General features: G+C 38.3%; 1 protein-coding gene across 6 annotated transcripts in view, besides 1 other annotated feature; it reads right to left on the bottom strand.

Moving 5' to 3' along the window:
- PLEKHA8 (pleckstrin homology domain containing A8) overlaps positions 1-22,950 on the bottom strand; it is a 102,072-nt gene that overhangs the window by 1,239 nt on the left and 77,883 nt on the right. For 3 of the 6 annotated variants that reach the window (NM_001350975.2, NM_001197027.2, XM_005249897.3), the window contains one exon: positions 10,898-11,275. The exons of 2 other annotated variants lie outside the window; for them this stretch is intronic. In NM_001350975.2, the coding sequence (NP_001337904.1) occupies positions 11,196-11,275 (80 nt within the window). In that variant the 3' untranslated portion in view covers positions 10,898-11,195. Of the gene's footprint in view, positions 1-10,897; positions 11,276-22,950 lie in introns of those variants that run through there. One more of the 6 variants, NM_001363474.1, reaches the window with a different exon arrangement.
- Positions 18,249-18,435: a silencer, noted in NCBI's record as "fragment chr7:30150426-30150612 (GRCh37/hg19 assembly coordinates)". NCBI's record gives its function as "represses an EF-1alpha promoter that drives an FKBP-Casp9 reporter gene in an ReSE screen in K562 erythroleukemia cells {active_cell/tissue: K562}" and the evidence as "EXISTENCE:reporter gene assay evidence [ECO:0000049][PMID:32094911]".

Below are 22,950 nucleotides of genomic sequence, written 5' to 3'. Positions count from 1 at the left end.
AAGGACAGAGGAACACAGGCCAACTGTCATTACTCTTTTAGTCCCAACCAGCAACTTCCTGTTACATATTATTGTTTCCTTTGTATCAGTAGTTTTTCAGCAAGGTATATTTTCCAGAATCTTATTGCTAAGGAAGAAAAGGAGAATGACTATTGCAGGGTGCTATAGTTTGAATATTTGACCCTCCAAGCCTCGTGTTGAAACTTCATCCCCAGTGGTGGAGGCAGGGCCTATTGGGAGGTGTTTGGGTCATGGGGGTGGATCACACATGAATGGCTTGGGGCCATCCCTGCAGTAATGAGTGAATTCTCACTCTGTTCACTCCCGAGAGCTGGTTGTTAAAAAGAGCCTGCCCCCTCCCCTACCTTCCTTCCTCTCTTGCCATGTGATCTCTCCACACAGGCTCCCCTTCTGTCTTCCACCTTGAGTGGAAGCAGCCTGAGGCCTGCACCAGGTGCAGATGTTGGTGCCATGCTTCTTGTACAGCCTGCAGAACAATGAGCCAAATAAACCTCTTCTCTTTATAAACTCCCCAGCCTCAGGTATTCTTTTATAGCAACATAAATGGACTAAGACACAGGGCATCTAACAGTGTCTGCCACAAAGGTAACCACTAAGTATTAGAAAAAGAATGAAAAATTCCAAATGAGTAGAAAGAAAAATGGGAAATAAAAAAAACTCCATCAATCCAGTAGACAGCGAGAAAGAAATAAAAAGAAACCAAGATGGAATAAATAATTCCAATTAAGTGTAATCATAATCAATGTGAATATAGGAATCAATGTGTGACTTAACCCACAGATGAAAACATAAGAGTGCCAGACAGAATAAACCAAACAGCCGGGCATAGTGGCTCACACCTATAATCCCAGCACTCTGGGAGGCCAAAGCAGGAGGATTGCTTGAGCTCAGGTGTTTGAGACCAGGCTGGGCAACATAGTGAGACCTTGTCTCTACAAAAAAATAAAAAATTAGCTGGGCATGGTGGCCTATGCCTGTAATCCCAGCTACTTAGGAGGCTGAGGTGGGAGGATCATTTGAGCCCAGGAGGTTGAGTCTGCAGTGAGCCGTGATCATGCCACTGCACTCCAGCCTGGGTGACAGAGCAAGACCTTGTCTCAAAATAAATAAGTAAAAAAAAAAAAAAAAAAAATACAGTAAAACTCATCTATATGCTGTTTACAAGAGACACAATTTCTAATAGAGAAAGTATGAAAGCAAAGAAATGGGAAAATATACAATAGGCAAATAACTTTAAAGGATACTTGTTTAAAAAAAGGTAAAATCATGACACAAAAATATAGGATGAAACATCAAAGATTTTATTTAACTTCTTAATTAACTCATAAGGGAACCAGTAAGATGCTATATAGGAGAATTCAATGTACTACACTTTTATCGTTGAATCAGGAATGCTGAAATGAATGTAAAAATAGATGTAAAATTGGTTAATATCCATGGGACAATAATCAATTGCTATTCACTGAACACAATTTTTATTTCTATAGACAAGAACTTTTTACATTCCTATAAGTGTTCTATATAGGAGCTCAAAGATAATGAAAGGCACATCATTTATAGAATCAGAAAACTTGGAAGGGGGTGCCCTAAAACAAGGCATAGTTTTCCATTGAAGACACCAGTCCACCTTTCGGTCTATTTCAGTCTTTCACAATTTTTCCCTAGCGTCTGCTTTCCTTTCGTGATCATAACAATTTCAAAGGAAGATTATTCTTAAGTTTGGCTTGCAAAATCCAGGTCCATATAGTATTAATCACTTACAAAGTTAACTTCTGTCTAGAAGTTTTAATAAGGAATCCCAAATGATCTTTTAGAAACTCTTACCAAAAAATATCACCCATAGTATCTATATGTTTGGGTGAATTTCTTTCTTCTTAAATTCCTCCAAATTTCTTGAGTTTCTGGCCTGACGGGAATAATATTCCTCACCTCCTGTAAGGCTGGGATCCTATAAGCCAGACACCAGCCAGTTTTCCTAGGAGGGCTTTGTATGCATTGGCTCCATAAGTAACGTCAACTTTAGCTTCTGAAAAGTGGCTGGTTACTTCTGATAAAATAAGCATCATTCTCAAAAAGGACACTCCAGGTAAGGCCCTGGTTGTACAACTGATTCATCCAATTATATCCTAGTAAGAAGGAGAAGATATTCTTATTGAGCTTTTACATAAAACTACGTTGCCATGAAAAGCAAAGAGACTCAGTAAGTTTCTGGATTCTGTAGGATCAGTGAGAATCAAATACAATTTAAGATGTTTCATTTCAGTTTATGATATGGTTTGGCTGTGTCCCCACCCGAATCTCATCTTGAATTGTAGCTCCCATAATTCCCACATGTTGTGGGAGGGACCTAGTAGAAGATAATTGAAACATGGGGGCGAGTCTTTCCTGTGCTATTCTCATGATAGTGAATAACTCTCACGAGATCTGACAGTTTTATAAAGAGGAGTTTCCCTGCATAAGTTCTTCTCTCTAGCCTGCTGCCATGTGAGACGTGCCTTTCACCTTCCACCATGATTGTGAGGCCTCCCCAGCCATGTGGAACTGTGAGTCCATCAAACCTCTTTCTTTTGCAAATTGCCCAGTCTTGGGTATGTCTTTATCAGCAGTGTGAAAACAAACTAATACAATTTACAAAAGTAGTCTACTAAATTTTATAGGTTGTAGATAGCTTAGAAAAAAAGAAATTGGTTTATTTATACAACCAGACTATAGAACAGTGAAACAAAATCAACAATATTATTTTAAAAAACACAATAAAATTTCCCTCATCAGTTCATTTAGCCTTATGTAAGTAACTCTTGTCCTGAGGATCTTAGGTTAGCAGTTCTCCAGACTAAAAGGAGTCCTAGAGATCTTGACTGAGTTTACTCATCTGAGCTGAGAGTTATCTAAGAGATACCAGCTCAGAAAGCTATACCCAAGAGTCTATGTTTTAAAGTGTCAACAGTTTGAAATATCCAATACAGTCCTTCTCCATGAAGCTCTGAGACTGTCTTTCTTGGTTGAAGACACAAAATCTGGCCTGTAGCTTATAGCAGGGCCTTCACACAAGCCTGAAACTGTCCTTGGCTGAAGACACAAAATCTGGCCTGTAGCTTATACCAGGGCATTCACACAAGCCTCAGAGTGAAAAAAAAAAATCTGTAGATGACAGAGACTTAGAGTGGCTGTTTTTAATTTATAACTGGTAACCCTCAAATGTGACAGGTCAGATGAGGGGTGCATAATTATAATGCAACCAGTAAAGAAATGTGGTTGCTTCTGTAGCATGCCAAAGATAATAAAGCCATTCCAAAAAATAAAATAAAAAAATAGGCAAGTTGTCTCTAAGGATAATAATTAAGTTTGCATTAAAAAAATCTGATTTATAAAAATGGAGGAACACAATTTTTATATAGAAAAATAAATTGAGATATAACAATTATGAGACATAATATACCAAATATATGAAGTAAAGAGATTCAGCAGTAGGGCCTAGGCATTTTATTTTTTATAAAACTCCATAGTTGAAAACAACTAGCTTAGGAGATAGTAAATTCAAATTAAAAATATAAGACTGTGGCCAGGCTAAGGAAACATTTTAAGTAATAACTGAAATTAGGATTGAGAACACTACACTGTTGTCTAATATCATCAGGCAAAGCATTGTCAGGACTCTGATAAATAAAGAAAACACAACAAACCAATTTCATAAGAGTTTGATCAGTGTTTTCCTTGAGGGTAAAAATAAATCATGGACAGCCAGGGTACTGATAAATCTCCAGGGATTTCCTCTAAAGTCCAGATGCTCCTTGGCTTCCAATGAGGTTAAATCCCAATAAACTCATTGTAAATAAAAAATGTCAGAAGTCAAAAATGCATTTACTACCCCAATAAACGCAGCTGAAAAATCATAAGTCAAACCATTGTAAGTTGGGGACCATCTGTATACCATTTCTGAAATAGTTACACTAAGAATATTTTATTTACACAAATCTAACCTAGGGAAGACTAAGTACCTTCTCTGGTTAGATAACTCTTCTCATACAAATCCTACAATAGTAACACATCAAAGAAACCTAGCCCTTATCTTTTTATGTGATGAAAGAAACAAGTTTGTGATTTTCAAAGGATACACTGGAAAATCCAAAAGATATTTTAGGTGTAAAAGATATCCTAATTTTCTGTACATTTAAAAATAGGGAAAATGTTAAATTTTATGTTCCATGTATTTTATTATCATAAAAAAGGTTAAAAAATTATGACGAAAGAATGGCAAAAAAAAATTCTGATTTTTTTTATTTTTTCCTAAATTTAAGATCTAATTTTTTTGGGAGAACAAAAATTTAAAAAAAAAACTTATCAGAACATATTTGAATGCTTGATTAAGATAGGATCATGGGTGCCTTAGAAACAATACTTTATTACTTATTTGAGTCACAAAAAAGCATTTTGAAATAAACATAGAAGGCAACATGATTAAAAAGAACCTTTGCTCTTTCATAAGTGAAAACCTTTTGTACTTTTTCTTTTTAAATAGTCGAGGATCTAGTAAGGTCAACAGAAAGCACAGGAAATTATTCTGGTAAGACCTAGAATCTTTGCTATCCAGGCAGATTACACAGCAAGTAATGAATAACCTTTTACATTGTCGGTGAAAGCATTAATCAGTAAAACAACGAAAAAGGCTTACCAAAATTAGGCAAACTTTGCTAAGATTTCAACAGATTATGGAGCTCCTTTTCTGACTCAAGTGTTATAAACGAAGGCAAATAAAACACACTTTCCAAGTTTGTCCTACATTTTGCTCTTTTTTATCCCACACAAACTGACATTTTTCTTTAGAACAGATCTCAGGGGGCCTGCAAGGTCAAAACTAATTTTATTATAATACTAAGATATTATTTATGTTCACATGCTTTCATCATTGCTATCTTCAAATGAATCACTAAATATTTTGAAGATTTTCAGTTTCTATTTTTAATACAGTAAATATTGATAGTCAGAACCCACATAACAAAAGTTCTTTGGGGTCCTCAATAAGTCCTAAAAGTGTAAAAGGGGTCAGAAACAACGAAAAAAGCCCATCTACTGCTTTAGGAAAAATTACTCTTCTTCCTCGGAAAACAAAAGCACACACACAGTTGTATTTCTTTGTCACTACTGCTCCTAGTTTAGTCTTAATAAGTCATATTAAATACATTTTAACCAAAATAGCTGACATCTGTTTACAACGACCCAAAGATATAGCCTCTCTGTAGCATATAAAAATCAGCAAAAGTATATAAAGTTAAACTAGGATTAGCCATCAATGTTTTGGTATTATACCTCACTTGGTTGCATATACTAGAAAGTCAAGTCAAACTAGCTTAAGTAGAAAAGGAAATGCACTGGGTCAGGTAACTGATAAGTTCAGGAATTGGATAACTTCAGGCATGGCTAAATCTAGGTGCCCAGGTAAAGTTATCGGACATCTATCTCTCTCCATCTCTTGGTTCTGTTTTCCTCTGTGCTGGCTCTGTTCTTCAGCAGGCTGTCTTCTCATGCTGAAAAGACAACCCCTAGCAGCTCTAAGCTCATGTGATCCTTAATTTCTCAGAGCTCAAAAACGAGAGATCCACATTCTCTCCTTCTGTCTAAGTGCCTGATTATTCTCCCTAAAAAGTCCTTAAGTAGTTCTAACTTGGAGCTGAAGCCCACCTCTGAGCCAATCACTGATGCTAGAGGTCTGTGATACTCTAAAAGCTCAGCCTGGATCCTCAGCCCCCCACTGTGTTTGAGGACGGGGATCCCTTGATTGCAGGATCTACCACATCATTCAGAAGAGGGAGCAGCTGTTCTCTGCACCAAGTGTGATGCTGAAATGTTTTCATTAAAAGGCAGATTTGTTTAGTGGAAAGAAAGCCAGATTGGCATTCAAATGACCTAAGGTTTAGTTTTAATCCTACTATCCCCTAACTGTGTGACCTTGACCTTGGGTAAGCCATTTAACTTCCTTGGACATTACTGTTTCATCCATAAAATAAATATGTTGGATTAGATTATTTCAGATCTAAATGTCTACAATTGTATTTCACTAATTCAGGAAGAATCCAGGTTCATTCTTCTGTTCTGGGACTCAAAACAGATGAGAAAATGGAGAGGTGGGTTCTAGTTGTCTTAGTCAATGGTCTTCTGGTTGTCAATAACAGGAACTCATTCAAGCTAGCTTAGGGGGGGGAAAGTCAGGAGACCTTTGTATAAAAGTCCAGAATATCTCACAGAACCCAAGGACAGGAGTGGGTTTCATGATAGCTGAGAACCAGGAACTAGAAAACTACCAGGAACTACTATTTCCAGTCCCTTCCTCTCTCTCTCTCCCACCCCTCCTCTTCTTTGTCTCTAGCCAGATCATTTTCCATCCTTTACTTTGCACATCTGTTCTGTTCTTCTCTTAAAATATCCACTTTCCTGCTTCTCCTGGCATGTGGAGGAGAATGCTTTTCTATGATGGCAGCTTCTGCTCATCAGTTTCCATTACCTTCATTCCAGTTAACAGGTTGTCTATTACTGAACCCCAGCTCCAATTTGATTGGCTCACCTCAAACTCAGGAGTCCCTTCATGGACAGGAGAGCAGAGTGAGCCATCACAAACGTTATGTCTTATGGAGATGGAGATATTCTCAATGGAAGGGGGTACTGAGCTGGGAAGACACTGCAAAAGGTATTTATTTCAACAGTTACATTGTGGTCGTTTTTCTATACATACAAGTGCAAGGTACTACCAGAAGGAAAGGAGAAATTTACAACTATAAGGCTTTTAGACAACCATGATTTTTTAAAAAACAACTTCTTGCAAGGGGGTGAATTCATAGAATATAGGAAGCTGAATGTGAGTCATAATAACCTTATTTAAGAAAGTGGGGGAAAAAAGCCCAGTGGAAAGTAAGCCAAAAGCATAACAGATAACGGTTTTAGGGTCTTGTATGATCTATGTATATTTGGCAGTGAGGACACCAAGAGATCCATATATAGATACAGTGGTATTTCTTTTCTGAAACAATTAGAATAGCCAGATGGGCCAGTTTTCTACAGCAGCTTCTAAGCCAATGTGTTCTGATTCTACCTCTTAGAAGAAAGGCCATCTGATGGACGCCCAGGCAGAATCACAAAAAGTTTCACACTGACATTCTCATTTCTTTAGTCATAGCTCTTACAGTGCTTTATATACACATATAAAAATCTAGGCATATTACTTTCCTTTATAGGTCTCTAAGGCCCACCTAGTTCAGCCCTCTTCAAAAGTTCTTTGTGGCAATCATACCAAGATAGTTGGATGGCACTTCTGTAGAATGAATAGCTCCAAGCAACTCTAGGCCTGGGCAGGAAAAGTGTGAACTCCCTGGTATGTGCAGGACAGAACCACATTGACAAGGCCAGCATCTTTTCCTGGAAATAGCAATTTGCTAGTTTTGGATCTTTGACCCTGCTTATTTATTGATTTGGAAATTTAAACAGCATCATCTCCAAAATGTGCCTCTGGGCAGAGATACAAAGATTAAAAGTCATACATGAAGGCAGCCAACTCTTTTTCCTTGTAAAGGAAAGGAAATCAATAAACTGTAGGGTTTTTTTTTTAGACAGGGTCTCGCTCTGTCGCCCAGGCTGGAGTGCAGTGGCGCAATCTCTGCTCACTGCAACCTCCGCCTTCTGGGTTCAAGCGATTCTCCTGCCTCAGCCCCCCAAGTAGCTGGGATTATAGGCTCCTGCCACCACACCCGGATAATTTTTGTATTTTTAGTAGAGAGGGGGTTTCACCATGTTGGACAGGCAGGTCTCGAACTCCTAATCTCAAGTGATCTGCCCGCCTCAGCGACCCAAAATGCTGGAATTACAGGTGGGAGCCACTGTGCCCAGCCAATAAACTGTAAGTTTTTCATCCCTTTGGCCACTCCTCTCTTATCATGGTGGCCCAAATCCCTCTCTGGGTCTGTTTCCGACCACTGTCTTCCTGACATCTACCCTGAGCTGCCACTTTCTGACCAACCTCCCATGGAAGAAAACGGAAGCATGCGTGGGTCAAAAAAGAGGCAAACCTGAAAAAGAGAAAAAGATACCTATTTTTTCACGTGGAACCCTGCCACTGCTGCTTCCTGGTAAATCACAGTATGTATCCTTTGGTTCTATCGTTGGGCCATTGTTACATTTTTCCCACAGATTAAATAGATTAATCGTAAAATCTACTATGATTGATTTGGTAAAGAAAAAGTCAGTTCTCTGGTGTCAATATGTTACTAGTATTCCTCCAGCAAAGGCAACCATGGGTTGGCCTTCTGTCCCACTGTCCTTTTTGTTTTAGCATTTGTCTTGGAAATAATTGTCACAGTTTGGATGATCAGTTACATGATCATTCTACCTGTGGTACTAATGCTCAGAGAAGCAGATCAGAAACCTACTTACGGTGTTTGAAGTCCCTTATTTGTATCTTTAACCAAAGCAAGGTGGCCACCAATCAAGCCAACTGAATTACAGGAAGTTTCAACTAATGCTCTCAAGTGAACATGCATTAATTTCACCCAAACTAGACCTGACTGGTGACTTTAAAATTGGTTCTTAGTTGTGTTTTTTCCAATTTCTCCACTTCACTGTGTTAAATTAAGTTTAGCCTGAAGCTGCCTCCTTACATATTTAGGTCCAACCTAAATGTTTAACTGAAACCTAATTGGATATGTAAACAGACTGTTGTAACCTACACTTGCACCAATCGCAGAGTTCTGGCCAATCATAGGCATATTGCTTTCCTTTACAGGTGTTAGTTTGGCCAATCACAGGCAGCCAACTGTTTAAATTGTATTCAAATAAAGCAAACGCTGAGCTGTAACCAATCCAGCTGTTTCTGTACCTCACTTCCGCTTTTTTGTACGTTACTTTCCCTTTTTTGTCCTTAAATGTTAGCCCACCATGTAGCAGCCCTGATTCTAGAGGCTGCCCCATTCTCAAATTGTTATTTACTCAGTTAAACTCTGTTAAATTTAATTTGTCTAAAGTTTTTTCTTTTAACACCTGCCAACATGTTATTTTCTGTTTTTTTTTTTGTTTTTTTTTTTTTAATTATTTGTATTACAGCCATCCTACTGAGTATGAAGAGGTATCTCATTGTGGCTTTGATTTGCATTTCCCTAATGACCAAGTTCTTAGCTTTTTGATAGCACAGAGAAGACTGTTTGCTCTCAGAGGCTTGCATTGTATCTTAGAGGTTTAATATTCTCAGAGCTGAGAATACAGTAGGTGTTAACAAATCTCTCATTCAGCAAACATTCACAAAAAGAGCCTGAGTTGTGTATATCAGCTGAGTACCAATAAGAAAGAGTTATATTTAGTGTCAGGAGGCCAGAAGATCAGAGCACATAAATACATCCTAAAGACTGTGACAACAGGCTCCTAAGGTGACAAATTCACACCTCAACATGAAGCAGGGTGGAAGCTTTAGAAGCTCTCGAATCTGATGCAGCAAAATGGTGGCTGAAGGTCAATTACAGTTAAAACAGGTATAAGCGGCTGTTTTCATCTCCCTTTTCATTGTAATAAAATGTGTCTTGGCAGAAACCTCTCCAAAGGAGATGGGTGCCCACTTCCCAGAGGTGTTTGGTGGATTAATGTGAGCAAAACACTGTGATGGTAAGACTTCTGCTGCAATTGAATGGAGAGTGCTCTTATTAATGAGACTTCCAATTCGGAGCATTTACTACATATAAGATACTGTCCTCGGCAGTTTCTTAATAGCTGAGAATGTAATGCACGGCTTTGAGACATTATCTCAATCTTAATAACAGCTGCCTCCGGGGCTGCAGCACAGGTTCTGTCTGGGTTTAGATCTGAGCTTTCATGTACTAGCTATGAGATTTAACCTCCGCATGCATCAATTTTCTCATCTAAAAAGGAGGAAATTAAAATGCCCACCTCTTAGGGTTGTTTTCAGGATGCAGATTCCTACATGGAAAGAAGTCAATACATGTTAATTCCCTTTGCCTTCACTTAAAATTAGGAATATTACAGATATTATTCCTTCTATTTTCTAGATGGGAAAAGTGAGGGATAGGTCCCGTAGTGACTCAGAAGTCATCATCTTTTGGGGTGCCCTCCCAGCTCACAGCCATTTCCAATTCCCTGGGAACTGTCCCCTGACCCGAGGTGATGAACCCACAGCAGTCATGTCTGTACCACGGGCCAATGCCCCTCAGGCCACCATTGATTGAATGGAGGAAGACAGACATGGGACTTAAGTGGGCCAATCAGATTCTTGTACAAGAATTTGGGAATGAGGCCAAGATACAGAAAGGTAGAATCTGCATGTGGCTAAAACTGTGTCACGTAACTTAGGCATTGATGCCACTATATTCTGTCAGATGAATGGGAGACGTGGAGAAAGATGGGCCTCAGACGGGCGGATCACAAGGTCTGGAGATCGAGATCATCCTGGCTAACACGGTGAAACCCCGTCTCTACTAAAAATACAAAAAATTAGCCAGGCGTGGCGGCGGGCGCCTGTAGTCCCAGCTGCTGGGGAGGCTGAGGCAGGAGAATGGCATGAACCCGGCAGGCGGAGCTTGCAGTGAGCCGAGATCGCGCCACTGCACTCCAGCCTGGGCGACAGAGCAAGACTCCGTCTCAAAAAAAAAAAAAGAAAGATGGGCCTCAGAGAGAGAAGACAGAAAGATATGCAGTAAGAAGCAGCCATGGCAGCTAAGAAAAGATCCCAATGGCTTTCAGCTCCTGGTTCTAGTCCTTTCTCAGCCCAGCCCATGCCTTTCCCCTTGGATTCCATGAGCTGTCCACCTACCTGCAGAGTTATTATAAAGCCCCTCATGTTGCTTCTCGTAGTTTGGTGGGCAAGATTTTCACAGGCCACAAACTCAAATAGGCAAGCAATTGAGCTTTATTTTCTTGTAATATAATTTAATTTCTCTTTTGAGACCTCATTCTATCTGATGGCAGAAAAACAATCAAATAAGTTCCAGATAGACTCAGTCATTTCAGGGTTTTCTCAGGCATTTTAGATCTCACTTAACTCAGGATACTCTCACATACTTCCTTCTCTCCAGGAGGCATCTCGGGGCTTGCTGGGCATCCTGGCCCAGGAGAGGCATTTAGTCCAGGCTGATCCCCTGGAGAGAGGCGTCACCCAGATGTGATGCATCCTGTCTCATGCTGGGTCATCATGTCCTGCAGGCCACTCTGCACCCGCCTGATTCTGAGTGACAGCCCTCCTGGGCCACCATCAGACATTTGTGTGTCCCTGTTAGAAATGAATCCACGTCTCAGTTTTTAAATTTTTTAAAAAATAAAAATATGAATAAAGTCTTGGCAATCTTTAATCTACAGGAAGTAGAGTTGTGTAGTTATACTTCTGTTTCTAATATCTTGTTGGCAACATAAGCTTTGTGCCTTCATTTTTTTAGTGTGCACACTAAACTTTTGAAACTTAAAATTATTTTTCTCATAAATTCTGGCAGTTGTAAATCAAAACTGTTGTTTTTTAAAGATTTTAATTTTTTTCTGGAGGGGGGTCTTGCTCTGTCACACAGGCTGGATGGAGTACAGTGGCATGATCATGGCTCACTGCAGCCTTGAACTCCTGGGCTCAAGTGACCCTCTCGCCTCAGCCTCCTGAGTATCTGGGACTACAGGTGTGTGCCAACATGCCTGGCTAATTTTTTTATTTTAGTGGAGATAAGGTCTCACTATGTTGCCCAGGCTGGTCTCAAATTCCTGAGCTAAAGCAATCCTCCCACCTCAGCCTCCCCAAGTGCTAGGCTTACAGGCAGGAACCATCGTGCCTGGCCCTAAATTTAATTTTTAATAAATTACATTTTAAGGCTATTATTTCTACTACAAATTTTAAGAAACTAACTTGGAACTAATTTAAGTCTCAAGAACCTAACTTGGAACTCAAATTCATTTGGCCAAGACATTGTATAGTGCTAACTTAAGTGGGAAGGGCCATGGGGTAACTTCTAGGAAATGCACACACACATATAATTTCATTGTATGGCATGAGTTTGAATCGATTTCTCAATTACTGTGAGCTGAGAACCCCAGTCTCCCAAAAATGCTTTCTATCCTTGACCCTGCCTGCCTCTCACAATTTCCAGGCTGTCTCCTTAATAACGTTCAATCTGCCTTCCACAGTCATTACGTCAACTGGGCACAGATGCTGGAAGGCAGACGGAAAGGCGGTGACAAAGTTAGACCTACATTTGCAAGACCAAGTGAAACACACACCCACTCTCCTGAAGCCAAACTGCTTTTGGAAGGCGGGCAGGGGAGTGCCATTCCCTCTAGCATACTTGTCATTCCCAGCCTAGGTTTCAGATCCTTTTTATACACTGGCCTGTGGAGAGACTTGCTGCTAAATTCTGTTATTTCACAGCCCATCTCTAGCAACTGTGTTGGGGAACGACTTCAGACATTCCAGGTTTTGCTCAGAGAGCAATTTTCAACAAGAAAGCCAGAATGGGGGAGTAGCTAAGATTTAGTTGCAGCAAATTGGAGACCGGAAATATAAAGTTATTCAGAACAGTCAATGAAAATCATTTATATGGGAGAGAAACAACATGATCTTGCTTTAAATGTAAGGCATCTATCAGCGGCACAATGTTAATTAGGATTCTAGGGCTCTTAGTGCAGCTATTCCCTTTTTTATTTCTAGGTTGCTAGGTGCAGAAGAGTAGATTTGCAGAACAGCTAATCAAATATATGCAAGAAGATGCCCCTCATTTATCCTTAAGCTTCTAAGGCAGAAGTTTTTCTTCAGTTGTTTGTTCTTTAATGAATTTTAATGATGTAAGAAAAATACAATACACTATTAGGTGAAAAATCGCACATGTAAACAGATATTCACACATGAATCAAGTTATATAGTACATATATACATACACACATATGTGTATGTATATATGTATACATGTATGAATACATACATGTATACATACATACATGTATGCATGTATACGTGTACATGTATACGCATACATGTATACGTATATACATATGTATACATGTATACGTGTATGTATGCGTATGTATACATATGTATACACATGTATACGTGTATGTATGCGTATGTATACATATGTATACACATGTATACGTGTATGTATGCGTATGTATACGTATGTATGCGTATGTATACATGTATACGTATGCATACGTATGTATGCGTATGCGCACATGTATGTATACGTATGTATGCGTATGTATGCGTATGTATGCGTATGCATACATGCATGCATGCACATGTATGCATGCATGTATGCGTATGTGTGCATGTATACATGTATGTACACGCACGCATGCATGTATACATGCATGTATACGCATGTATGCGTGCCTACATGTATGTGCACGTATGTATGCATACGTGTATACATGTATGTGCACGCATGTATACATGCATGCGTGTATACATGTATGTGCACGTATGTATGCATGCATACGTGTATACATGTATGTGCACGTATGTATACATGTATACGTGTATGCATGCATGCGCGTATGTATACATGTATACGTGTATGCATGTATGTGCGTATGTATACACGTATACATGTATGTGTACATGTGTGCATGTATGTGTACATGTATGTGTGCATGTATAAATGTATGTATACATGTCTACATGTATACGTGCATGTATACATATGTCTACATGTATACGTGCATGTGTACATATGTCTACATGTATACGTGTATGTGTACATATGTATACATATGTCTACATACACGTATACATGTGTGTATACATATGCATACATATATACATGTATATATGTATATCTAAACACATATAATACAAAAAGGAGAAAACATTTAAAACATGGCCATTTTTAGGTAGTGGTACAATGAGTAGTTTGCATTTTCCTCCTAACACTTCTATGGATGTCCCCAATTTTTAAATCAGGCTTACCAAGAGAAAATAATTAACATCATACTTTTTTTAAAGGGTGGAATGAGACTCCTAACTTTCTTAAAAGAAGATGTGGGGAAACAGTCTGAAAACTCTCCTGCCATACTGCCTTAAAATGCTTGACAAAATACAGCAAAAATTATTTTAAATGCATGAATGAACTGGCAACAGAGAAAGGAAGTCTCCAGGTGTGTCAGTAACAAAGAGAGAAGTGAGTGGTAAGGATGTGGGATGCTGCCACAGCTGGGCTTAGTTAAAAAACTGCAGCAGTTTTTAAAAGGCTACACCCACACTGAAAAGAGTAGATTAGGAGAACCATCGATGCACTGGCACGGAGAGACAAAAAAGAATTTATATGCCTCTGTCTGGATGGGGAAAAATGTCCTCTGAGAAATGAATTCTCAGGGTCTTTTTCTACCTCAAATTTGGAGGTTCAAATTTGCAGATGGTCCAGGAACCATGATGATAAATGACTCCCAAAATGATAAACAGCCAAAAAAGAGTTCCACATCTGGTGATCTTTCTGTGGCAAATGCAAAACTGCTCTTGAGGGACACATTTACAACCCAGGCCACGGGGATTCTCACAGAAAAACAGCCTTCTTTAAAGATAAGCTCACAAACACAAATAATGAAATGCAGGAGGACAAAATCCTGCTGACTTAAAAGTCAGCAGACACAATAAATAGCACTAAAAGATACCCTAAAACTTCATATAATAGAATGACAATTGGAAAGGGAATGTAAAATAAACATGCTTAAAATTATTAAAGCCCTAAAAGATGTAATTAAAACACCAAGAACGGAACAAACCTCATGAGAGGCACTGTTGCACGGTAGCTAAGAGCGCAGAAACTGAAGCTAAAGTGCTGGGTTCAAATCTCGTCACTATCACCTACCACCACCTGGGTGACCTTGGGTGTGTCACTTAATATTTCTGTGCCTCAAGTCCCTCATCTGTAAAGTAGGTATACTAATGGTATCTATATCAATGGGTTATTGTAAGGATTAAGTGTGTTAATATATGTAAAGTGATTAGAAGAGTACACATATGCTTGGCACAGAGTAAGTTTTAGCTACTATTGTAACAAAAAAAAGAAAAGTAGGGCAGGTGTGTCTCACTCCTGTAATCCCAGCACTTTGGGGGACTGAGGTGGGCAGATAACATGAGGTCAGGAGTTCAAGACCAGCCTGGCCAACATGGCAAAACCCTGTCTCTATTAAAAATACAAAAATTAGCCAGTCATGGTGGTGTGCACCTGTAATCTCAGCTACTGGGGAGGGTGAGGCAGGATAATCACTTGAACCTGGGAGGCAGAGGTTGCAGTGAGCTGAGATTGTGCCCCTGCATTCCAGCCTGGGCATTGGTGAGACTCTGTCTCAAAAAAAAAAAAAAAAAGTAATATTTTGAACAGAAACAAATTAGAATGTGTAGAAATGAGAACTAGCTACTAAAAGTTTGTAAGCTGAAAAGAAGTTGAAGGGAGAATTAGTAAATTAGAAGTCCCATCTGAGGAAATTGTGCTAAGTGCAGCAATATGATGAAGTGATGGAAAATGTTAAAAGGAGGTTATGAGGCCTAAGGAATGAGATAGTCCAATATGTATTTAATAGAAATTCCAGAAACAGTAATAGGGAGAATAGTGAGGTGGTAGTATTCAAAGAGATAATAACATAGACTCTACTAGAATTGTAAGGAAAGAATCTGCAGAATAAAAGCATGCACTGAGACCAAAGATAAGAAATGAAAATAAATCTACACTACACATAATAGGGAAACTGCAGACCACAAAACAAAGTGAAGATCCTAAATGCCACCAGAGGTAAAAAGGACAGACTACCTATAAAGAAGCAAAAAATAAGTTGACAGCACAGTACTCAATAGTCAGAGGCCAAGAGACAACAGAAAAAATATCTTCAAAATATAGAGGGAAAATAACTGATAAGCTAGAATTTTATAACTAGCTAAACTATAATTCAAAAGTCAGGCAGAAAAAAGACATTTTTAGGCAAAGACTGAGTTTACCATTCATAGGCCCTTCCAGAAAATGTTACTATGGGAACATTTTACTTCCAGAAGGAGCAAATCAAAACCAGAAGAAAGATGCAGAAAGCAAGAACTAATGATCTCCAAAGAAATAGCAAATGTGGGTAAACCAGAGCAACCACTGACTGTAGAAAACACCACTCCTACTGCTAATAGTAATGATGATGATGATGAATTTGAGGGACATAAGGAGGCACAAAACTATCAGAAGACAAAAACATGTCAGACAAGAGGCAAGTGACTGGTGTTAAAATGTTCTAAGGTTATTTGTATATTTTAGGAGAAAGGTAGAGATACTGATAAACTTTAGGCTTGTTAAGTCAAGCATATATGTTAATTTTTTTTTTTTTTAAAGAGACAGAGTTTCATTCTGTTGCCCCAACTGGAGTGCAGTGGTATATCACAGCTCACTGTAGCCTTGAACTCCTGGGCTCAAGTGATCCTCCCTCCTCAGCCTCCCAAATAGCTGGGACTACAGGTACATGCCACCACACCTGGCTAATTTTGTATTTTTTATAGAGATGGGCTTTTTTTTTTTTCAGACTGGGTCTGGGTCTGTCACCCAGGCTGGAGTGCAGTGGCACAATCATCGCTCACTGCAACCTCTGCCTCCCAGCCTCAAGCTATCCTCCCACCTCAGCTTCCCAAGTAGCTGGGACTACAGGCATGAGCCACCGTGCCTGGCCACTTTTTTCTTTTTGAATGTGTGCAGTTAAACCCACAAATGACTCAAGTTCTGCTTTAGCTACATCCCTCAGATTTTATTATGTATTGTAGTCACACTCTTTTAGTGCTAAGTATGTACTCATTTCATTTATGATTTTTTTGACATGTGAATCATTTAGAAGTATTTTTAAGGTTTTTTTTTTTTAAGGAGTTATCTTTTTGTTAACTAATTTCAAATTGTAGTACATTGTGGTCAGAAAATCTTGACTTTTTTGGTATATGCTGAGTCGTGAAAATCGTCTTGTTCAAACCTTTCATATTTTATTTTTGTCTACCCCATACTGACTGTGAATTTGCTCATTTTTTCCATCTCTTTCTGTCAATTATGCCGTTAGTTGTTGCACAGAAAATCAGAACTGTTGAATATTCCTAGTGAATTGTTCATGTTTTCATTTTGCAGTGACTTTCTTTATCCCTAAATACTTTTTAAGTCTTTTTTGTCTGATATCAACATAATTACACTGTGTTCTGGCCTCTGTTGTGGCTATAAAATTCTGTGCCATCAATTTTAAAAATTAATATTTGCCTGGTAATTATTTTGCCATTCCATTGTTTTTAGTCTTTCTAGATCATTAGATTTTAAGCATGCCTATTGTGAACAGCATATGGTTGGCTTTTTATGTCTTATATCTGAGAGTCTATTTTTAAACTCATGGATTTAAAAAATATATATACTTATACACAGTCATGTGTTGCTTAACTACAAGGGTATTTCGGAGAAATGTATCATTCCATACAAAATTAGCTGGGTGTGGTGGCATGCACCGGTAGTCCCAGTTACTTGGTAGGCTGAGGTGGGAGGACTGCTTGAGCCTGAGAGGCGGAGGTTACAGTGAGTGATGACTCTGCCACACTATTCCAGCCTAGATGACAGAACGAGACCCTGTCTCAAAAAAAAAAAAGTCCTAATGGTAATAAAATAAATGTCCATTTTTACAGTTATAAAACAAATATGCAAACCCAAGAATGTAGAAGCTAGAAAATTAAAAAATAAGACAGAAATGAATGATATAGAAAACTAAGAAACAACAAATAAAATCCCAAAACCAAAAGTGATTAAATGAAAAAAATTTAAAATAAGATGACACAGAATAGCCAAAACAATCTAGAAAAAGATCACAGTTGGAAGAATTACATTTTCTTATTTCAAAACTTGTTACAAAGTTACAGAAATCAAGATAGTGTGTCAATAATAAACTGCTAATATTAATAGTCAATTGATTTTTGACAAACATTTTCAAATATTTGAAAATATTTGAAAATCATATACATGAAGAGGGACTTGCATCCAGAATATATAAAGAACTCTTAAAACTCAAAATAAGGTCCAGGTGTGATGGCTCATGCGTGTAATCCAGTGCTTTGGGAGGCCGAGGTGGGTGGATCACCTGAGGTTAGGAATTTGAGACCAGCCTGCCAATGTGATGAAACTCCGTCTCTACTAAAAATACAAAAATTAGCCATGCATGGTGGTGTGTGCCTGTAGTCCCAGCTACTCGGGGGGCTGAGGCAGGAGAATTGCTTGAGCCCAGGATGCAGAGGTTGCAGTGCGCCAAGATCGCGCCACTGCACTCCAGTCTGGGCAACAGAGTGAGACTCCGTGAAAAAAAAAAAAAACAACCTCAAAATAAGAAAACACCACAATTAAAGTTGGGCAAAGAATTTGAATAGATATTTCTTTAAAGAAGATATACAAATTGCTAATAAGCACATGAAAAGATGCTCAACATCATTAACCAAAAGAAAAACTCAAATCAAAACCATGATGAGATATCTACTTCACACTTGCACTCACTAGGATGGCTATATTAAAAACAAAAGGAAAAACAAAAGCAGATGATAACAAGCGTTGATGGGGATGTAAAGAAACTGAATCCCTTATATATTGCTGCTGGACTGTAAAACAGTGCAACCACTTTGGAAAACACTTCGGAAGTTCCTCAAAATGTTAAACACAGTTACCATATGACCAAGCAATAAGCAATTGTGCTCCTAGGTACATACCAAGAGAAATGAAAACATATATCCACATGATGACTGGTACACAAATATTCTAGCAACATTATTAATAATAACCCCCAAATGGAAACAGTCCAAATGCTCATTAACTGGTGAATGGATCAACACAACACCATATACCTATACAATGGAATACTATTCAGCAATATAAAGGAACGAAGTACTAATAAATACTACACTATGGATGAATCTGCAAAATGTGCTAAGTGAAAGTAGCCAGACATAAAACACCACACACATTGTATGATTCCATTTATATGAAAAGTCCAGAACAGGAAAATCAATAGAAACAGAAAGATTAGTTGCCTAGGGCCATAGGAGGGAGGAATGGGGGGTGACTGCTTAATAAGTACAGGGTTGCTCTTGGGGGTAATGCAAATATTCTAAACTTAGATTATGGTAAGGACTACACAATCTTGTAAATATAATGAAAGGCACTGAATTATATATGCTAAGTGGGTAAATTTTATATGTTAATTTTTCTCAATACAATTGAGTTTTAAAAAATTAAATAGGATGACATTAAAAGCAATGTGGTATCTTGTACTGGATCCTAAAACAGGAAAAAGTTATTAGTGAAAAAACTGGTGAAATGTGAATAATTGCTTGAGCCCAGGAGTTTGAGACCAACCTGGGTGATTGAGACCCATCTCTACATAAAATTTAAAAATTAGCCAGGCATGGTGGTGCATGCCTGTGGTCCCAGCTACTTGGAAGGCTAAGATGAAAGGATTGCTTGAGCCCGGGAGGCGAAGGTTGCAGTGAGGCGTGATTGTACCACTGCACTCCAGCCTGGGTGACAAAGTGAGACTCTGTCTTTAAAAAAAAAAAAAAAGAAAAAGAAAAAGGAAAATCTGAATAATGTCTGTAGTTACACAATGTTAATCTCTCTCTCTTTTTTTTTTTTTTTTTTTTTTTTTTTGAGACAGAGTTTCACTCGTTGCCCAGGCTGGAGTGCAATGGCGCGATCTTGGCTGACTGCAACCTCCACCTCCCGGGTTCAAGCATTTCTCCTGCCTAAGCCTCCCGAGTAGCTGGGATTACAGGCATCCACCACCACGCCCAGCTAATTTTTTGTATTTTTTGTAGAAAGAGGGTTTCACCATGTTGGCCAGGCTAGTCGCGAACTCCTGACCTCATCCACCTGCCTAGGCCTCACAAAGTGCTGGGATTACAGGTGTGAGCCACCATGCCCAGCCATGTTAATCTCTTTTAACAAATGCACATAGTCATATGAAATGTCAACATTATCGAAACTGGGTGAAGGTTATATGGGAATTCTGTGTTAACTTTCCAACTTTTTTATACATCTAAAATTATTCCAAAATAAAAGTGAAAACAACCATGACATACCTTTAGTGCACTTTATAGAGAGAGAGAAAGAGAGAGAGTGAACAATTAGAGATGACTAACGGTATATAAACTACCATTTGATATGTAATCGCTGTCCTCCCATTGTTGAACGGAGGATCATGGCAGGACCAGGGTGATGAGCCAGACCCTCAGTGGGTTTGCATTTCATGGGTATCACTAGCCCCAGGCTCTTCTAGTGCCACCATGAGAATTAACTTTGTTTGTGGGAGGCATACAGACTGCTTAGTATGAATTATTTCTATTTAACTGCTTGTTGTTTACTGGAGTTGCTGTGAAAGCCCCACACCTGGGGTGCTGTGGAAAGCCACAGACCCTCCTGCCAAAGGAACAAAGGAAGGGAGCTACTGGTTCTGTGGGAAGCTGAACTTGGGTGAAGTCTCTCTCTCTAGGAGAAGGCGCAACAAGTCCTAGCAGGCATCTTGTCCAGACTGCACAGAGTAAGTTCTCAGGGTCATTTATGCACAATTCTACTTAAAACCCATAATCAATAAACTGAAAACATAGACAAACTGCAGTTTCTTAGAAATATACAACCTAACAGAACTACTCAAGAAGAAATACATTTTTTGGGTTAGATTTATAACTTGAATTGGGAGTTTTAAAATCTACCCTCCATACTAAAAAAAATAAAATTAAATTAAGATAAAAATAAAACCCATTAAACCCAGAAGGTTTACCAGTCATACCCAGACTTCGAAGAACAGATAATCATTATCTAAAACAAACTGTTCCAGTGAATATAAAATGAGGGAACACTGCCCACCTCATTTTACAAAGTATAACAATTCTGATGGCAAATCAGATAAGGATGGTATATGAAGGAAAAAATTAAAGCCCAATCTCATTTCTAAATATAGATGCAAAAATCCTAAATAAAACAGTAGGCAACTGATTCCAGAAATGTCTATTAAAAATACACCATTACCAAATTGGATTCAACCTAGGAATGCAAGGATGGTTAAAGTTAGAAAATCTCTTAATGAGATTTACCATATTAGTTGGTTTAAGGAAGAAACCTTATGATCATGTCAATGAATGTAGGTTTTTTTTTTTTTTTTTTTTTTTTTGAGATGGAGTTTTGCTTTTTGCCCAGGCTGGAGTGCAATAGCGCGATCTCTGCTCACTGCAACCTCTGCCTCCTGGGTTCAAGTGATTCTCCTGCCTCAGCCTACAGAGTAGCTGGGATTACAGGCATGCATCACCACACCCAGCTAATTTCTGTATCTTTAGGAGAGATGGGATTTCTCCATGTTGGTCAGGCTGGTCTTGAACTCCTGACCTCAGGTGATCTGCCCACCTTGGCCTCCCAAAGTACTGGGATTACAGGCATGAGCCACCATGCCCAGTTAGAAAATTTTTTTGTAATATTAAACATTGCTTCATAATTAATATCACTAGTAAACTAGATGGAGAAAGCAACTTATTTAGCCTGGTAAATGGCAGCTACCAAAGAACCTATAGCAAAAATTGTATGTAATTATGAAATGTTGAAAGCATTCCATTTCAGATTAGGAACACAATAAGATTATCTTCTATGGCCACTTCTATTCAGCATTGTATAAAACCTTTTTGCTTATATAAGACAAGAAAAAGAAATAAAATTTATAAAGATTAGAAAGTAAAAAATACGAAATACAAAGGAACCTATAAACTACTACAAATAAGAGTTTGTCAAGGTTGTTGAATCCAAAACAGGTATATTAACAAATTCAATAGCAACAAAAATTAGAAAATGTAATTTTCCAAAAGATACATTCTTTAATGGCAGCAATAAAATACAAGGTACCTAGGAATAAGTTTACAATTTTATTGTAAAACTTTATGGAAGAACATAGTAATAGGTGGAAGTAATATTGTAAAACAAAAGTTTTACAATAAAATTGTAAATTTATTCCTAGGTACCTTGTATTTTATAACAAAATTGTAAAACTTTATTGAAGAACATAGGAGTAGGCAGAAAGATAAACTATATTCATTGGTAGGAAGATGAAATTTTGTAGTGACAGCGATTTCTCCCAAAGTCAGTCTATAAATTCAGTATAATTTCAATAAATATTCTAATAAGGTATTTCTCAAAATAGAAAAGATGATCCTTAAATTCATACAGAAGATTAAAGGAACAAGAATAGCGAACACAATTTTAAAGGAAAACACTATATAGTCAAACCCTGGTATCTGTGGGGGATTAGTTCCAGGACCCTGGCAGGTATCAAAATCTGAAGATGCTCAGAAGTCCCTTATGTAAAATGGACCAGCATTTGCATGTAACCTATGCGCATCCTCCCGTACATTTTAAATCATTTATAAATTACTTATAATGCCCAATACAATACCTACACATCACTTCATTTGCGTGCATTCAACGTAGTACTTGGCTCAGAAAAAATTCAAGTTTTGCATTTTGGAACTTCGTGAAATTTTTTTGCCCACATTCTTTTTATCCCGGGTTGGCTGACTCCATTTAAGTGCAACCCACAGATATGGAGGGCCAACTGCATTTATTTGTAGGTGCAGGGGAGGGGGCAAATCTCAGCAGACCCTGAGACCTCCTAATAGTGTGATATTGGTCCAGAGAGACAATTAGGCAAATGAATAGAAGAGAGGACCTAGAGTTAAAATCATTTATATATGATGGTGCTGCTGCTATTAAATTACAGGAAAAGAATAGCCTGAATGATTCCAAGACAAGTGGCTATTCATAAGGAAAAAGATAAAATTAACCCAAATTACATCCCATACACAACTTCCAGATGGTTTAAAGACTTAAAGATGGCCAGGCATGGTGGCTCATGTCTATAATCCGAGCACTTTTGGAAAGCCAAGGCAGACAGATCATTTGA

This window comes from Homo sapiens, chromosome 7, assembly GCF_000001405.40.
Source record: "Homo sapiens chromosome 7, GRCh38.p14 Primary Assembly".
Taxonomy (NCBI): domain Eukaryota; kingdom Metazoa; phylum Chordata; class Mammalia; order Primates; family Hominidae; genus Homo; species Homo sapiens.
Note: the sequence above shows the minus strand (reverse complement) of the source record. Positions and strands in the feature narration are given on the sequence as shown.